The following is a 12556-nucleotide window of genomic DNA, read 5'->3' as shown; positions in this document are numbered from 1 at the left end:
CCCGCCCCCTCCGCCCCCGCCCCCGGGTGAGCGTTTCAGATGTCTTGGTAGTCGCGGCTCTGGCGCTCCGCACCCTCCGTCTGCGGCAGCGGGGGCTGGCGGCCCCGGCCCCTGCCCGGCCCCGTCCTCCAACCTCATGCCTCAGCCCTAATACCGCCGCCCTCCCCTGCGGGGGGCCTTTCTCCGTGTCCCCCGCCCGCCCCGTCCACTTCGGGCGCCATGAACGACCAGTACCACCGGGCAGCCCGGGATGGCTACCTGGAGCTCCTCAAGGAGGCCACCCGAAAGGAGCTGAATGCCCCCGACGAGGATGGCATGACCCCCACTCTCTGGGCTGCCTACCATGGCAACCTCGAGTCGCTGCGTCTCATTGTGAGCCGCGGGTGAGTACGCCCCACCCAGTGCCCTTGAGGCCCCTGAGACCACCCCAAACTTCCTCGTCCACCACTCCTCTGAGCTGCCTCCTTCCCCTGCAGACAGGCGGACCCTTAGACCCTGGCGTTTGTGGGAGAGACACATGTTGAGGGGACCCAAGCGGAGGCATCTGACACTTGTTAACACTTGTGACCTGGATCTGGGGCTAGGAGGGGAGAAACCGGGATTTGGGGGTTCCTGATTATGGGGGGTTGCTGCAGAGTGAGGGGAAGGTGGGAGAGATCCCCTGGCTGGGGTCCCCCTGGAAGCAAGAGTGAGGGGATAGTGAGACTCGGAGAGAAGGTTAGGAAGTCTCGAGGGGCCAGCAGTGGGGGCTAGAAAGGGAGGGGTCTCCACTGCCCACTCTCCAGCCTTGATCCAAAGGGCTCTGCCAGCCAGCACCCACGTTCTCCGGCAGGCTGGTGTCACACAGCGCTTGCCCTCAACCTGCTCATTTTGGGGATTTATGGACACTGTCCAGGGCGCCAAATGTCACTGATTCAGCCACTCCATTAACTCTCTCCAAGTCCCTCCCCCACAGCCGGGCACAGCTAAGCAATGGTGGAGGCTGTGATGTGGTCACCCTGAAGGGGCTTCTCTTCCCTCCCCCTCCCTTTGGAGTTGTCCTGGGTGGGGGGGTGGGCATACAGTGCAGGTGTCAGTGCCAGGGAAGGGGCCTGGAGGTGGCAGTTGAGCCACCTCCAGGACCAGAGCCACTGATATGGGTTCCTTGGGGCTAAAGTCAAATGACTGTGACCAACTCCCTCAGCCCCAGTGGCTTTATAAAGAGAAGTCAGGTTGGTCTGGGCATCAGGGCAGCCTGGACAGGACACCCCAGGAAGGTTGATATGAAGTCTCAGGTCATGGGAGAGAGGGCCAGGGGCTTAGCTGGCCCCGGTACCAGGTACTGGCCAGTGCCTGAACATGTAGTAGGTGCTGGAGACCCCTCCTTCTTGCCCTCTCCTTGGGCTGCTCCTTGGGCCCAGCATCAGGTGGGAGCAGCCTTGAAGCCTGGGCAGCTGAACCATGTCCCGTGAGGCCAAGGCTGGCTGGCCCTTCCCCACCCCAGGAGGGCACACAGTGACACTGTCCCTGCCATCCCTTCAGAGAGGCTCATGAGAGGAGGGGAAGAGGGCTCCCCTTGGGTACACCAAGCCCCAACTCCTCCAGAGACCAGGATTGGTGTTTGATGGGTTGTGGGTTGGGTGCTGGCAGGTCCTTCCCACACTGGCCTGCAGGACTTGGCGGCCAGGAGGGGAGGCCCAGGAAGGGGTGTGTGGGGAGCTGTTGAGACAAGGGAGTGATTCTTCCCCCAGCCCTGGGGGTTGGCCTTGTGGCCTCATTAGTGCAGGGCAGGGGTGCTGTGCTGGGCCCCCAAGGGAGGGAGAGCTCCGGAGGAGTCTTGGGAGCTTGCCCTGGGGGACACCCGTCTGGTGTGAAGGGTGCTTGTGGGGGCTGTCGGGGGTCCCTGGACAGGCTCAAGTGAGCCAGCCTTGCAGGGATACCAAAGAGGGGGCAACCTAGGGAAGGGAGGGCTTCGGAGCACGGGCAGCTGATTTCCCTCCTCCTCCCCTCCAGTCCTGGCTGCCCCCACACTCCCCTCCCCGCCCAGGCCAAGGCCCGACACCTCCTCTCACACTCGGGCTTGCCAGGGCTGGCCCTGCTCCCTGCAGACAGGGCCCTGCCTGCTGACATGCAAGCCCACACTTCACACACGCTCACCCGGGGCTGGGGCCCGGCACACACCACCCACTGGTCTGTTCTCTTTTACGGTCACTCGGCACACGCAGCCACACTCACCACCACGCCTGCCTAGAGACCCAGACGCGGCCCTGGCCCACCAGCGCTCTGGGCCAGCTCTGTGCTGGGCCCCATCAATAATTTACTCCCTTCTCTCAGGGCATCAAATATTCATCCCCTGAGATTCCCAGCCCTCAGTTAGCTTGGGGAAGGCCCCGCCCCAGTCCCGCCTTCTCTGTCACCCCACCCCCTGCATGCCTGAGGCCATTTTCCCCTGGGCTCACCCCTGGGCTCACCTGTTGGGTGGCTCAGGCCTGCAGGTCTCCTGGAGTGGGAGAGATCTCAGGCCCACGGTCCCTTTGGGGGTTGCTGTGACAGTGGGGAAGCTCCCCTCCCCCCTCCACTCCCTCCACCTCCATCCCCAGCCAGGACTCGTCACTCGTCCCTCCTGAATGCTTTCCCTGCAGGGGTGACCCGGACAAGTGTGACATCTGGGGCAACACACCCCTGCATCTGGCAGCTTCCAATGGCCACTTGCACTGCCTGTCCTTCCTGGTGTCCTTCGGAGCCAACATCTGGTGCCTAGACAACGACTACCACACGCCGCTGGACATGGCTGCCATGAAGGGCCACATGGAATGCGTGCGCTACCTGGACTCCATCGCGGCCAAGCAGAGCAGCCTCAACCCCAAGCTGGTGGGTAAGCTGAAGGACAAGGCCTTCCGCGAGGCGGAGCGGCGCATCCGCGAGTGCGCCAAGCTGCAGCGGAGGCACCACGAACGCATGGAGCGGCGATACCGGCGCGAGCTGGCCGAGCGTTCCGACACCCTCAGCTTCTCCAGCCTCACGTCCAGCACCCTGAGCCGCCGGCTGCAGCATCTGGCGCTGGGCAGCCACCTGCCGTACTCTCAGGCCACGCTGCACGGCACGGCCAGGGGCAAGACCAAGATGCAGAAGAAGCTGGAGCGGCGCAAGCAGGGCGGCGAAGGCACCTTCAAGGTCTCCGAGGATGGGCGCAAGAGCGCCCGCTCGCTCTCGGGCCTGCAGCTGGGCAGCGACGTGATGTTCGTGCGCCAGGGCACCTACGCCAATCCCAAGGAGTGGGGCCGAGCCCCGCTCCGGGACATGTTCCTCTCGGACGAGGACAGCGTCTCCCGTGCCACGCTGGCGGCCGAGCCTGCCCACTCGGAGGTCAGCACCGACTCAGGCCACGACTCCCTGTTTACCCGCCCCGGCCTGGGCACCATGGTGTTCCGCAGAAATTACTTGAGCAGTGGGCTGCACGGACTGGGCCGCGAGGATGGGGGTCTGGATGGGGTGGGAGCGCCGCGGGGTCGGCTGCAGAGCTCCCCCAGCCTGGACGATGACAGCCTGGGCAGTGCCAACAGCCTGCAGGACCGCAGCTGTGGGGAGGAGCTGCCCTGGGATGAGCTCGATTTAGGCTTGGACGAGGACCTGGAGCCCGAGACTAGCCCGCTGGAGACCTTCCTGGCCTCTCTGCACATGGAGGACTTTGCCGCCCTCCTGCGGCAGGAGAAGATCGACCTCGAGGCTTTGATGCTGTGCTCTGACCTCGACCTCCGCAGCATCAGCGTCCCACTGGGGCCCCGAAAGAAGATCTTGGGGGCCGTGAGGAGGCGGCGGCAGGCGATGGAGCGCCCGCCGGCCCTGGAGGACACAGAGCTGTGAGTGTCCAGCCTGGCGGGGGGGATGGAGGAGCAGGAGTTGGAAGGCCCCTGGGGAGGGGGTACAGATCTGCCTATTCAGGAGTAGGGGGTGGGGGATACTGTATTTCATAAAATCGAAATGAGGCCATCGATGATAAAAGGCACCCTTATTTTATTTACCACCAGCTCAGAAAAAGAAGTGGCCAATTTAATGATGACCCGAGGCATTCTTATCACAGTGAAAGTGCACCTCGATTCTGGGGACATCGACAAGTGGGGAAATGGGCCTCTTAATGTCAATGAATTTCAACAGTCACAGGAATCACAGCTGGGGTGTTTTTGAGCCCTCCCACCTCCTAGGTGCTGGGTTGTGCCCTTGAACAAGTCCTCTTGCTTAATCCCTCTAAAAGCCTGTGTGCGCTGGACTATATTGGTGGATTATATCGTTCCCATTTTACAGCCAATGAGCAAGTGGAGGCTCAGACAGTTAGAATAGCTCACCTCAAGGTCCTGCTGCTGCTCAGCATGGAGCTAGGCTTGATCCCTGGTCTGCATGGCTTTAGAGCCTGGGGTCAAGGTGGCTGCCATGGGATGCAGGGCGTGCAGTCAGCAGGGCCTCTCAATTGCCCAAGACCTCAGGCAGATTTTTTTTTTTTTTTTTTTGAGACAGTTTCCCTCTTGTCATCCAGGCTGGAGTGCAGTGGCACAATCACTGTAACCTCCACCTCCCGGGTTCAAGCGATTCTCCTGCCTCAGCCTCCTGAGTAGCTGGGATTACAGGAGTGCACCACCATGCCCAGCTAATTTCTGTATTTTTAGTAGAGATGGGGTTTTGCCATGTTGGCCAGGCTGGTCTCGAACTCCTGACCTCAAGTGATCTGCCCACTCTGGCCTCCCAAAGTGCTGGGATTACAGGCGTGAGCCACCGCGCCTGGCCTTAGGGAGATGTTTTACCTACTGTTCCTGAACTTTGCAATCAGGAACGTGGGCAAATGCTCCCAAGAGGGTCAGCAGCAGCCCTGGAGGCAGAGTTCATGTTCCAAAGGCCGTCATAGTTGCCCAAGGCTGCCACCACAATGGTCATGCTGTGGCCAGCCCCTGCCCTGGCCCCTCCCCAATGGCATCCCACAGGCCCAACAAACTTTGTCCTCATTTCCTCTTAGGTATCTATGGCCGTTATCCTGAATGGCTGGGGCAGGGATGGGTGTGGGGAGGCAGGCTGGTTCAGAGTTTTGGGGATGGGGAGGTCACCCATAGGCTGGCGTCCCCCATCCCTGACAATTGGCCTGCCGAGAGATGGGGAGGCTAAGTTGTCCAGATGGCTGCCCTGGGTGAAAATGATGCCTCTGGAGGGCCTCATGTGAGATCTGTTTCTTTCTGTCTCTTCCTCCACAGATAACCGGGGGCTCCTCTCCCCAGACCAAAATGAATTGCAAGTTGCCACAACCTATGGTGGGGTCTCGAGGTCCTCACAGTTGCCAGCCCTGCAGCCCCCTTCCCCAGGAGCAAGGACCAGTTGGGGCGACTCCTTTGAAAGTCTGTCTGCACCTTGAAGCTGAGGGTGTGGCCTGGAGGCACCAGAGGGGCAAGAGAATGTTCCGGAACTCCAGTTCTGAGGGGTCTTGAAGGCCCTGAGCCACCCATTCTGAGCAGCCGTAAAGGACATGTAGACTTGGGGGAGGCCTGCCCCAGAGGGAGGGCAGGGGCATCGGAACTGGATGAGAGTGTGGGAGGTGGATGCGGGAGGGTGCACCTGTCCCGGGCGCCGTGGCCTCTCCCACCCCTCCCCTGATGGTCTTGTTCTCTTGTGCTCAGGCCAGAGACTTGCTCACTTCCTGCATTGTTGTGAAGGGAAGAGTTTGGGCTGCCTCCCCTCCTCCCGTCCACCCCAGAGGGGAAGTTCCTCAGCCAGACTCTTCAGCCAAATGCCCCAACTTTCAGTCTGTACCCCATCCCAAGCATAGCCAGCTCCCCCTCCTTCACCTAGTGGTCAAGGCCCGGAGCTGGAAAGCCGGGTTGGGGTGGGGTGGGGGTACTGACGCCCTTCCCAGCTCATCCAGGGGTGGAGCCTGGCCTGTCTTCCTCCAACCTCCCCCTTTTTCGTTGTGCAGCCTGGCCCCCCAGGGACCCCAGAGGGCCAGGGCGCTAGATGCAAGGTGCTAGACCAATGGGCTGCAGTATTATAGCCCCCAGGCCTGGCAGGCATGCGCTGGGCTAGAGAAAGGTGTCCGCCAACCTCCTCAGTCTCCCAGGCCTGGGACAGGCAGAACAGGGTGTGGCTGGGTGTCAGGCCTGGGGTGGGTAAGTCCTGCGATGTGGACACTGGAGAAAGTGGATCCTCTAAACTGCAGATTGTCCCCAGGTCACCAGGGCTGTGTGCGTGTGCATGTTTGTGTGCATGTATGCGTGTGTGCATGCATGTGTGTGTAAGTATGTGGTATGTGTGAGCACGGGTGTGTGCTTGGGTGTGTGTGTTCTTGCATACATGTGTGCGTGTGTGTGCACGTGAACGCGTGCGTGTTTGTGTGTGTGCATGCATGTGTGTGCATGTGTGTGTGTGCATGCATGTGTGTGTGTGTGCATGTGTGCGTGTGTGCACACTCACGTTGGGTGGTGTTTGGTAGGTTTCCCTCCAGGTCTGGTAGGGACTGGGCTGTTGCGTGATTCTGCGTGGATCGGGGGTAAGAGAGCTCACCTGTGTCCCAGCCCTCTGATGGTGGTGAGACCAGGGGAAAGGCCAGCTCAGAGGGTGGTCACAGCATGTGTCCTCTGACGTATGCCCCCAAAGCTCTCCAGCCAGACTGAGGTCACAGATGTGGGAGAGTCCCTGATGAGCCCGCTGACACGTGTGCGCCCCTTTGCACCCCATGCAGAGGTGCTCTCCTCCTTTCTCAGCCATGGCCCCCCATCCCTGACCTCAGCTTGGGAAGCAGCTCCTGCTGGGAGCATGGCCTCAGCCCCCAGCATCTCCTGGGGCCCCCATGGCTGGGGCAGGGGAAAGAGAGCCCTCAAAGGCCTCTTTCTGGTCTGTCTGGGGGTTCCCATTCCCACACATGTGCCCAGAGTAGGGGGCATGGAGGAGATGGTCCCTGTCCTACTGCAGGACACTGAGGGCTTGGCTGCCTGCCACCGCCATCTGGAGCCCACCACAGCTCTTCTCCCTGTTCTCTGGGCCTGAGCCTGGGGCCACCCCCAAGTGCCGACTTGTTTCTCCCAGAGCCCCAGGTGCTGCCCCTTCTCTCCTGTTCCTCGTCCGTTTACTGCCGCAGCCCCTCCTGGTTCTTCTGGTGCTGGGGTGGAGCAGGCTCTGTGCTCCCACCACTGTACCCCGAATCCCTCCTGCAGGCTCATTGCCACTTTTGTAGAGAATGTTCTCTATCAGTATCGTACCTGTCTTGTCCTTTAATGCTTTGGGGATAGAGTGAAGAGTGGAAGGGTGGGGGTGGGGGCGGGAGGGGGTCTGCTCTGCGCTTGTGAGGACTGGGTCCTATTCTCTGGAGTGTCTTCGAGACCCCATGCTGTGCATCTTTGCAGGGATCCCTAGGCCTTTACCTGCTCTCCTAGCTCAGCCCAGAATTAGGAGCTGGTGGAGAGGCAGGGCTGAGAACTAGGGCAGGAGAGTCCCCCTGAGCAAGGAGGATGGCTGAGCCTCCAGGCTTGTTGCCAGGGCCTGCAGCTACGGAGGGCAGGAGGATGCATGTTCTCTCTTCCCACCAGTGCCTACCTGGGTTTTTCCAGAGATGGGCAGAAACATACTCCAGGAGGCTGCTGCCTGTCACCTGGGCTCTGGGCCTCTGGAGGGGTCTCCATGAGGGCCCTCCAGAGGCCCAGAGGGGTCTCCATGTCCCTCATCACCGCAGGCAGCTCGTGGGCAGCCTGATTTGAAGCCCTGCTTTCTCCCAGGGGTGAGTCTCCTCCATAAGCTGGTGCCTAGTGGGCTCTGTTTTCTCAGTCAGGTCTGAGGAAGGGCCCTGGAGTCATCTTGCTCCATTGCCTAAGCTGCTGGGCCAGTTTCTTCTGCCAAAGGGAGTTCAAGACAGTTCCCTTCCCTCAGCATCAATCAGAAAGGTCCCCAGGATGTTGGTGCAGGAAGGTTGCCTAGCAACCATCCAGGGGTTCCAAGCCACCTCCCTCCACTTTACAGATGGAAAAACTGAGGCCCACAGAGGGGAAGAGTCAGACCCAGAACGCGGGTCTCTGGCTGCTGCCATGCTCTCCTCACACTCAGGCTGCCAAGGGCGCTAACACAACAGGATTCCACCAGCCATGCCCTGGGGGCGCACCTCCCTGCGGCTTCTTTGGCCATCCTGGTCACTGCACCCACCTCAGGAAAGACTCACTGGTCCTTGCCGCGATGGTCCAGAAGAGGACACGGGTGAGGAATGACAAGACAGAGAGCCGAGGGGCACTTTGGCATCCCAGCAGAGATGAACCAGAGGCAGCAGGATGAGGGGCTCCATGGGTCAGTGTGGCTCCAGGGCAGAAGCCTGGGGTGCCAGGAGCAGGAGCTGCTCCAGGGAGCCTGTGGGGATGTTCAACACAAGCAAAGAGGAGAAAATATTACATGGTAGGGGCTCAACTTTCATGACTCATTTCCCTAAAGATTTAGATCAAGAATAGGGACATTTACGAGGTCAGGAGATCGAAACCATCCTGGCTAACATGGTGAAACTCTGTCTCTACTAAAAATACAAAAAATTAGCCTGACGTGGTGGTGGGCGCCTGTAGTCCCAGCTACTTGGGAGGCTGAGGCAGGAGAATGGTGTGAACCCGGGAGGCAGAGCTTGCAGTGAGCCGAGATTGCGCCACTGCACTCCAGCCTGGGCGACAGAGCGAGACTCCGTCTCAAAAAAAAAAAAAAAAAAAAAAAGGGACGTTTTAGCACTTTGGGAGGTAGAGGTGAGTGGATTGTTTGAACCCAGAAGTTCCAGACCAGCCTGGGCAACGTGGCAAGACCCTATCTCTACAAAACATTTAAAAATTAACCTGGTTGGTGGTGTGCACTTGTGGTCCCAGTGTATGCGAAATTGGTGGGTTCTTGGTCTCACTGACTTAAAGAACGAAGCTGCAGACCCTCACGGTAAGTGTTACAATTCTTAAAGGCAGCATGTCCGGAGTTTGTTCCTTCTGATGTTCGGATGTGTTTGGAGTTTCTTCCTTCTGGTGGGTTCGTGGTCTCGCTGGCTTCAGGAGTGAAGCTGCAGACCTTCGCGGTGAGTGTTACAGCTCTTAAGGTGGTGCATCTGGAGTTGTTTTTTCCTCCCGTCCAGAGTCGTTCATTCCTCCCGGTGGGTTCATGGTCTCGCTGGCCTCAGGAGTGAAGCTGCAGACCTTCGCAGTGAGTGTTACAGCTCATAAAGGCGGTGCAGACCCAAAGAGTGAGAAGCAGCAAGATTTATTGCAAATAGTGAAAGAACAAAGCTTCCACAGTGTGGAAGGGGACCCCAGCGGGTTACCAGTGCTGCTTGGACAGCCTGCTTTTATTCCTTTATCTGGCCCCACCCACATCCTGCTGATTGGTCCATTTCACAGAGAGCTGATTGGGCTGTTTTACAGAGGGCTGATTGGTCTGTTTTGACAGGGTGCTGATTGGTGTGTTTACAATCCCTGAGCTAGACACAGAAGTTCTCCAACTCCCCACTAGATTAGCTAGACGAAAAGCACTGATTGGTGTATTTACAAACCTTGAGCTAGACACAGAGTGCTGGTTGGTGTATTTACAATCCCTTAGCTAGACATAAAGCTTCTCCAAGTCCCCTCCAGATTAGCCAGATACAGAGTGCTGATTGGTGCATTCACAAACCTTGAGTTAGACACAGAGTGCTGATTGGTGCATTTACAAACCTTGAGCTAGACACAGAGTGCTGATTGGTGTATCTACAATCCCTTAGCTAGACGTAAAGTTTCTCCAAGTCCGCACACATTTATTCTTTTTCCCCTTTCCCAGTTCTAAGGCTCAGGTAAGTGCCACTAGTTCTGCTAACTGGGCCCTGGTCCCTGGGGGAAGAGGCTTACTTTCAAGTATGGTTACCTCACTATGGCGTAACCTGCCCTTCATATCCCATTCTCCACAAATGAACTTCCATTGGTATATAGGTTAAGGTCAGGATTAGCTAAGGGGACTTCTAAGGGATCATCTCGGGTGGCATAAGTCTGGACCATAAAAGTCATGCTCGATTGGTTCCCCATCCTCTGGGAGAAAAGTGGCAGGGTTGAGGGCCACGCATGTGCATATTTGAAGCACCAGTCCCTCAAGGAGTAGCTCCTGGTATCTAAGTAGGCAGTTGTCTGATAGCCATAAACTTCCTTTGGCACATAGTATGCCATTTACATCATGAGTAGTCCATACAGTGAGATCTTTTCCTTGTATTATTTTGATGGCCTCTGACACTAAGATGGCCACTGCTGCAACTACCGTTAAACAGTGAGGCCAGCCTTTTGCTACTACATCAATTTCCTTACTTAGGTATGCCACTGGTTGTGGGGTTGTCCCACGAGTCTGAGTAAGGACTCCAAGAGCTATCCCTGCTCTGTGACGTATAAAGAGAAATTTTGTCCTGTTGGAAGGCTTAAAGCTGGAGCTTGTGCTAGGGCCTGCTTTAAGGTTTTGAAGGATGTTTCTGCCTCTGGTTCCCATTCTACTAGATGAGTATTTGCCTTCTGGGTTTCCTTGATTAGAGTATAGAGGGACCTGGCTATCTTGCTGTATCTGGGGATCCATAGTCAGCAAAAGCCGGTAATTCCAAGGAACTCCCTTAATTGTTTTAATGTCTTAGGGTGAAGATAAGCCAGTATAGGCTGTATTGGTTCCTTGCTGAGGGCCCTGGTGCCTCTGGCTAAGATTAGGCCTAGATATTTGACCTGCTGTAGGCAAGGCTGGGCCTTCGACCTAGACACCTTGTACCCTTGATTAGCTAGAAAGTTCAAGAGATCTAGAGTAGCCTGCTGGCATGAGGCTTCCGAACTGGTAGCCAAAAGTAAATCATCCACATATTGAAGGACCAGAGTGCCTGGACTTGAGAGATGGCCTAGATCTTGGGCCAGTGCCTGACCAAGCAGATGAGGGCTATCCCTAAACCCATGGGGCAATACCGTCCATGTAAGTTGGGATGTGTGGTCTGTGGGATCCTCAAAGGCAAAGAGAAACTGGGAGTCAGAGTGCAGGGGAATACAGAAGAAGGCATCCTTGAGGTCCAGAACCATGAACCATTCTGCTTCCTCTGGTATTTGAGAGAGCAGGGTATAGGGGTTGGGTACAACTGGATATAGAGGAATTACTGCCTCATTGATGGGTCTAAGATCTTGCACTAGTCTCCACTGACCTTTCAGTTTTTGTACTCCTAGAATTGGGGTGTTGCAGGGACTGCTGCATTTCCTTACTAAGCCTTGAGCCTTTAAACGTTTAACAATATTCTGTAATCCTTTATGGGCTTCAGGCCTTAAGGGATATTGTCTTTGATAAGGAAAAGTGGTGGGATCTTTTAACCTGATTTGGACTGGGCAGGCATTTTTTTGCCCTTCCAAGTTGTCCTTCCAGTGCCCAGACTTCAGGGTTGATTCCCTCCTCAAGTAGGGGACAACAAATGGGTAACTTGTTCCCCATATTCATGTAGATAATAGCTCCAGCCTTGGACAATATATCCCTCCCTAATAAGGGTGTGGGACTTTCAGGCATAACAAGAAAGGCATGTGAAAAGAGCAAAGTCTCCCAATTACGACTGAGGAGGTGGGAGAACTACCTGGTTACAGGCTGTCCCAGGATTCCTCAGATGGTAATGGACCTTGAGGACAGTCATCCAGGACAGGAGATTAACGATTAACACTGAGAAGGCCACGCCAGTGTCCAGGAGGAAGTCAATTTCCTGGCCCTCAATGGTTAAACGTACCCGGGGCTCAGTGAGGGTGATGACATGAGCTGGTGCTTGCCCCGGGCACCCTCAGTCCTGCTGTTAGATCATCTGGTTGGGGGCTTCTGACCCAGATAACCTTCATCCTCTGGGGCAGTGCACCTTCCAGTGATTGCCTCGGCATAGTGGACATGGACGAGGGGGCAGCTTGTTTCTCATTGGACAATCTTTTTTAAAGTGTCCTAGTAAACCACACTGATAAAAAGCCCTACCGGGTTATTGGCCTGCTCCATTTTCTGTCCTCTCTGAGCCACCAAGGTTTGTTTGTCTGAGGGCCATGACTAAGGCTGCGGCCTTTCTCTGATCTTGCTTTTCCTTTCGGGCCTGTTCCTCTTGGTCCCTATTATAGAACACTGAGGTTGCCAGGTTTAATACTGCCTCCAAATTTTGTTCAGGGCCCAGGGCTTGCTTTTGGAGCTTTCTCCTGATATCTGCAGCTGATTGGGTAATAAACTTATCTTTTTGAATCAGTTGACCCTCGAGTGATTAGAGTGACAGGGGAGAATATTTTCTTAAGGCCTCCCGTAGCTGCTTGAGGAAGGCAGAAGGATTTTATTCCTTTCCCTGAGTTACGGTGGACATCATTGAATAATTCATGGGCTTTTTTCCTAATTCTTCTTAGTCCTTCTAGAGCACAGGTCAACAGATGTTTATGACTCCAGTCCCCATGATCTGAGTCAAGGTCCCAGTGGGGATCCATACTGGGGATGGCTTGCTGACCAGTAGGGAATTTGTCCCTTTCTTCGGCTGTCATTCTATCATTTACTTGACTAAGATACCAAGTATCTCCAAACTCTTGGGCTGCAGCTAAAGCCACATTCTTTTCAT

At 56.4% G+C, this 12556-nt stretch overlaps 1 protein-coding gene across 3 annotated transcripts, besides 1 other annotated feature; it reads left to right on the top strand.

Annotated features, from left to right (window-relative positions):
• USH1G (USH1 protein network component sans) lies at nucleotides 38-7210 on the top strand. 3 transcript variants are annotated; one of them, NM_001282489.3, is made up of 3 exons: nucleotides 38-383; nucleotides 2675-3839; nucleotides 5217-7210. In NM_001282489.3, exons 2-3 carry the CDS (start codon nucleotides 2767-2769, stop codon nucleotides 5218-5220), a joined length of 1077 nt encoding a protein of 358 aa, NP_001269418.1. In that variant the 5' UTR covers nucleotides 38-383; nucleotides 2675-2766; the 3' UTR covers nucleotides 5221-7210. The 3 variants fall into 3 exon arrangements, with proteins under 3 accessions (NP_001269418.1, NP_775748.2, XP_011522598.1); NM_173477.5 differs by having other exon boundaries at nucleotides 2622-3839; XM_011524296.2 differs by lacking the exon at nucleotides 38-383 and adding an exon at nucleotides 391-717 and having other exon boundaries at nucleotides 2622-3839.
• Nucleotides 3724-3773: an enhancer, noted in NCBI's record as "active region_12722". NCBI's record gives its function as "activates an Ori minimal core promoter by ATAC-STARR-seq in GM12878 lymphoblastoid cells {active_cell/tissue: GM12878}" and the evidence as "EXISTENCE:reporter gene assay evidence [ECO:0000049][PMID:35858748]".

This window comes from Homo sapiens, chromosome 17, assembly GCF_000001405.40.
Source record: "Homo sapiens chromosome 17, GRCh38.p14 Primary Assembly".
NCBI classification, from domain to species: domain Eukaryota; kingdom Metazoa; phylum Chordata; class Mammalia; order Primates; family Hominidae; genus Homo; species Homo sapiens.
The sequence above is the reverse complement of the archived record's forward strand: the minus strand, read 5'-3'. Positions and strand labels throughout refer to the sequence as shown.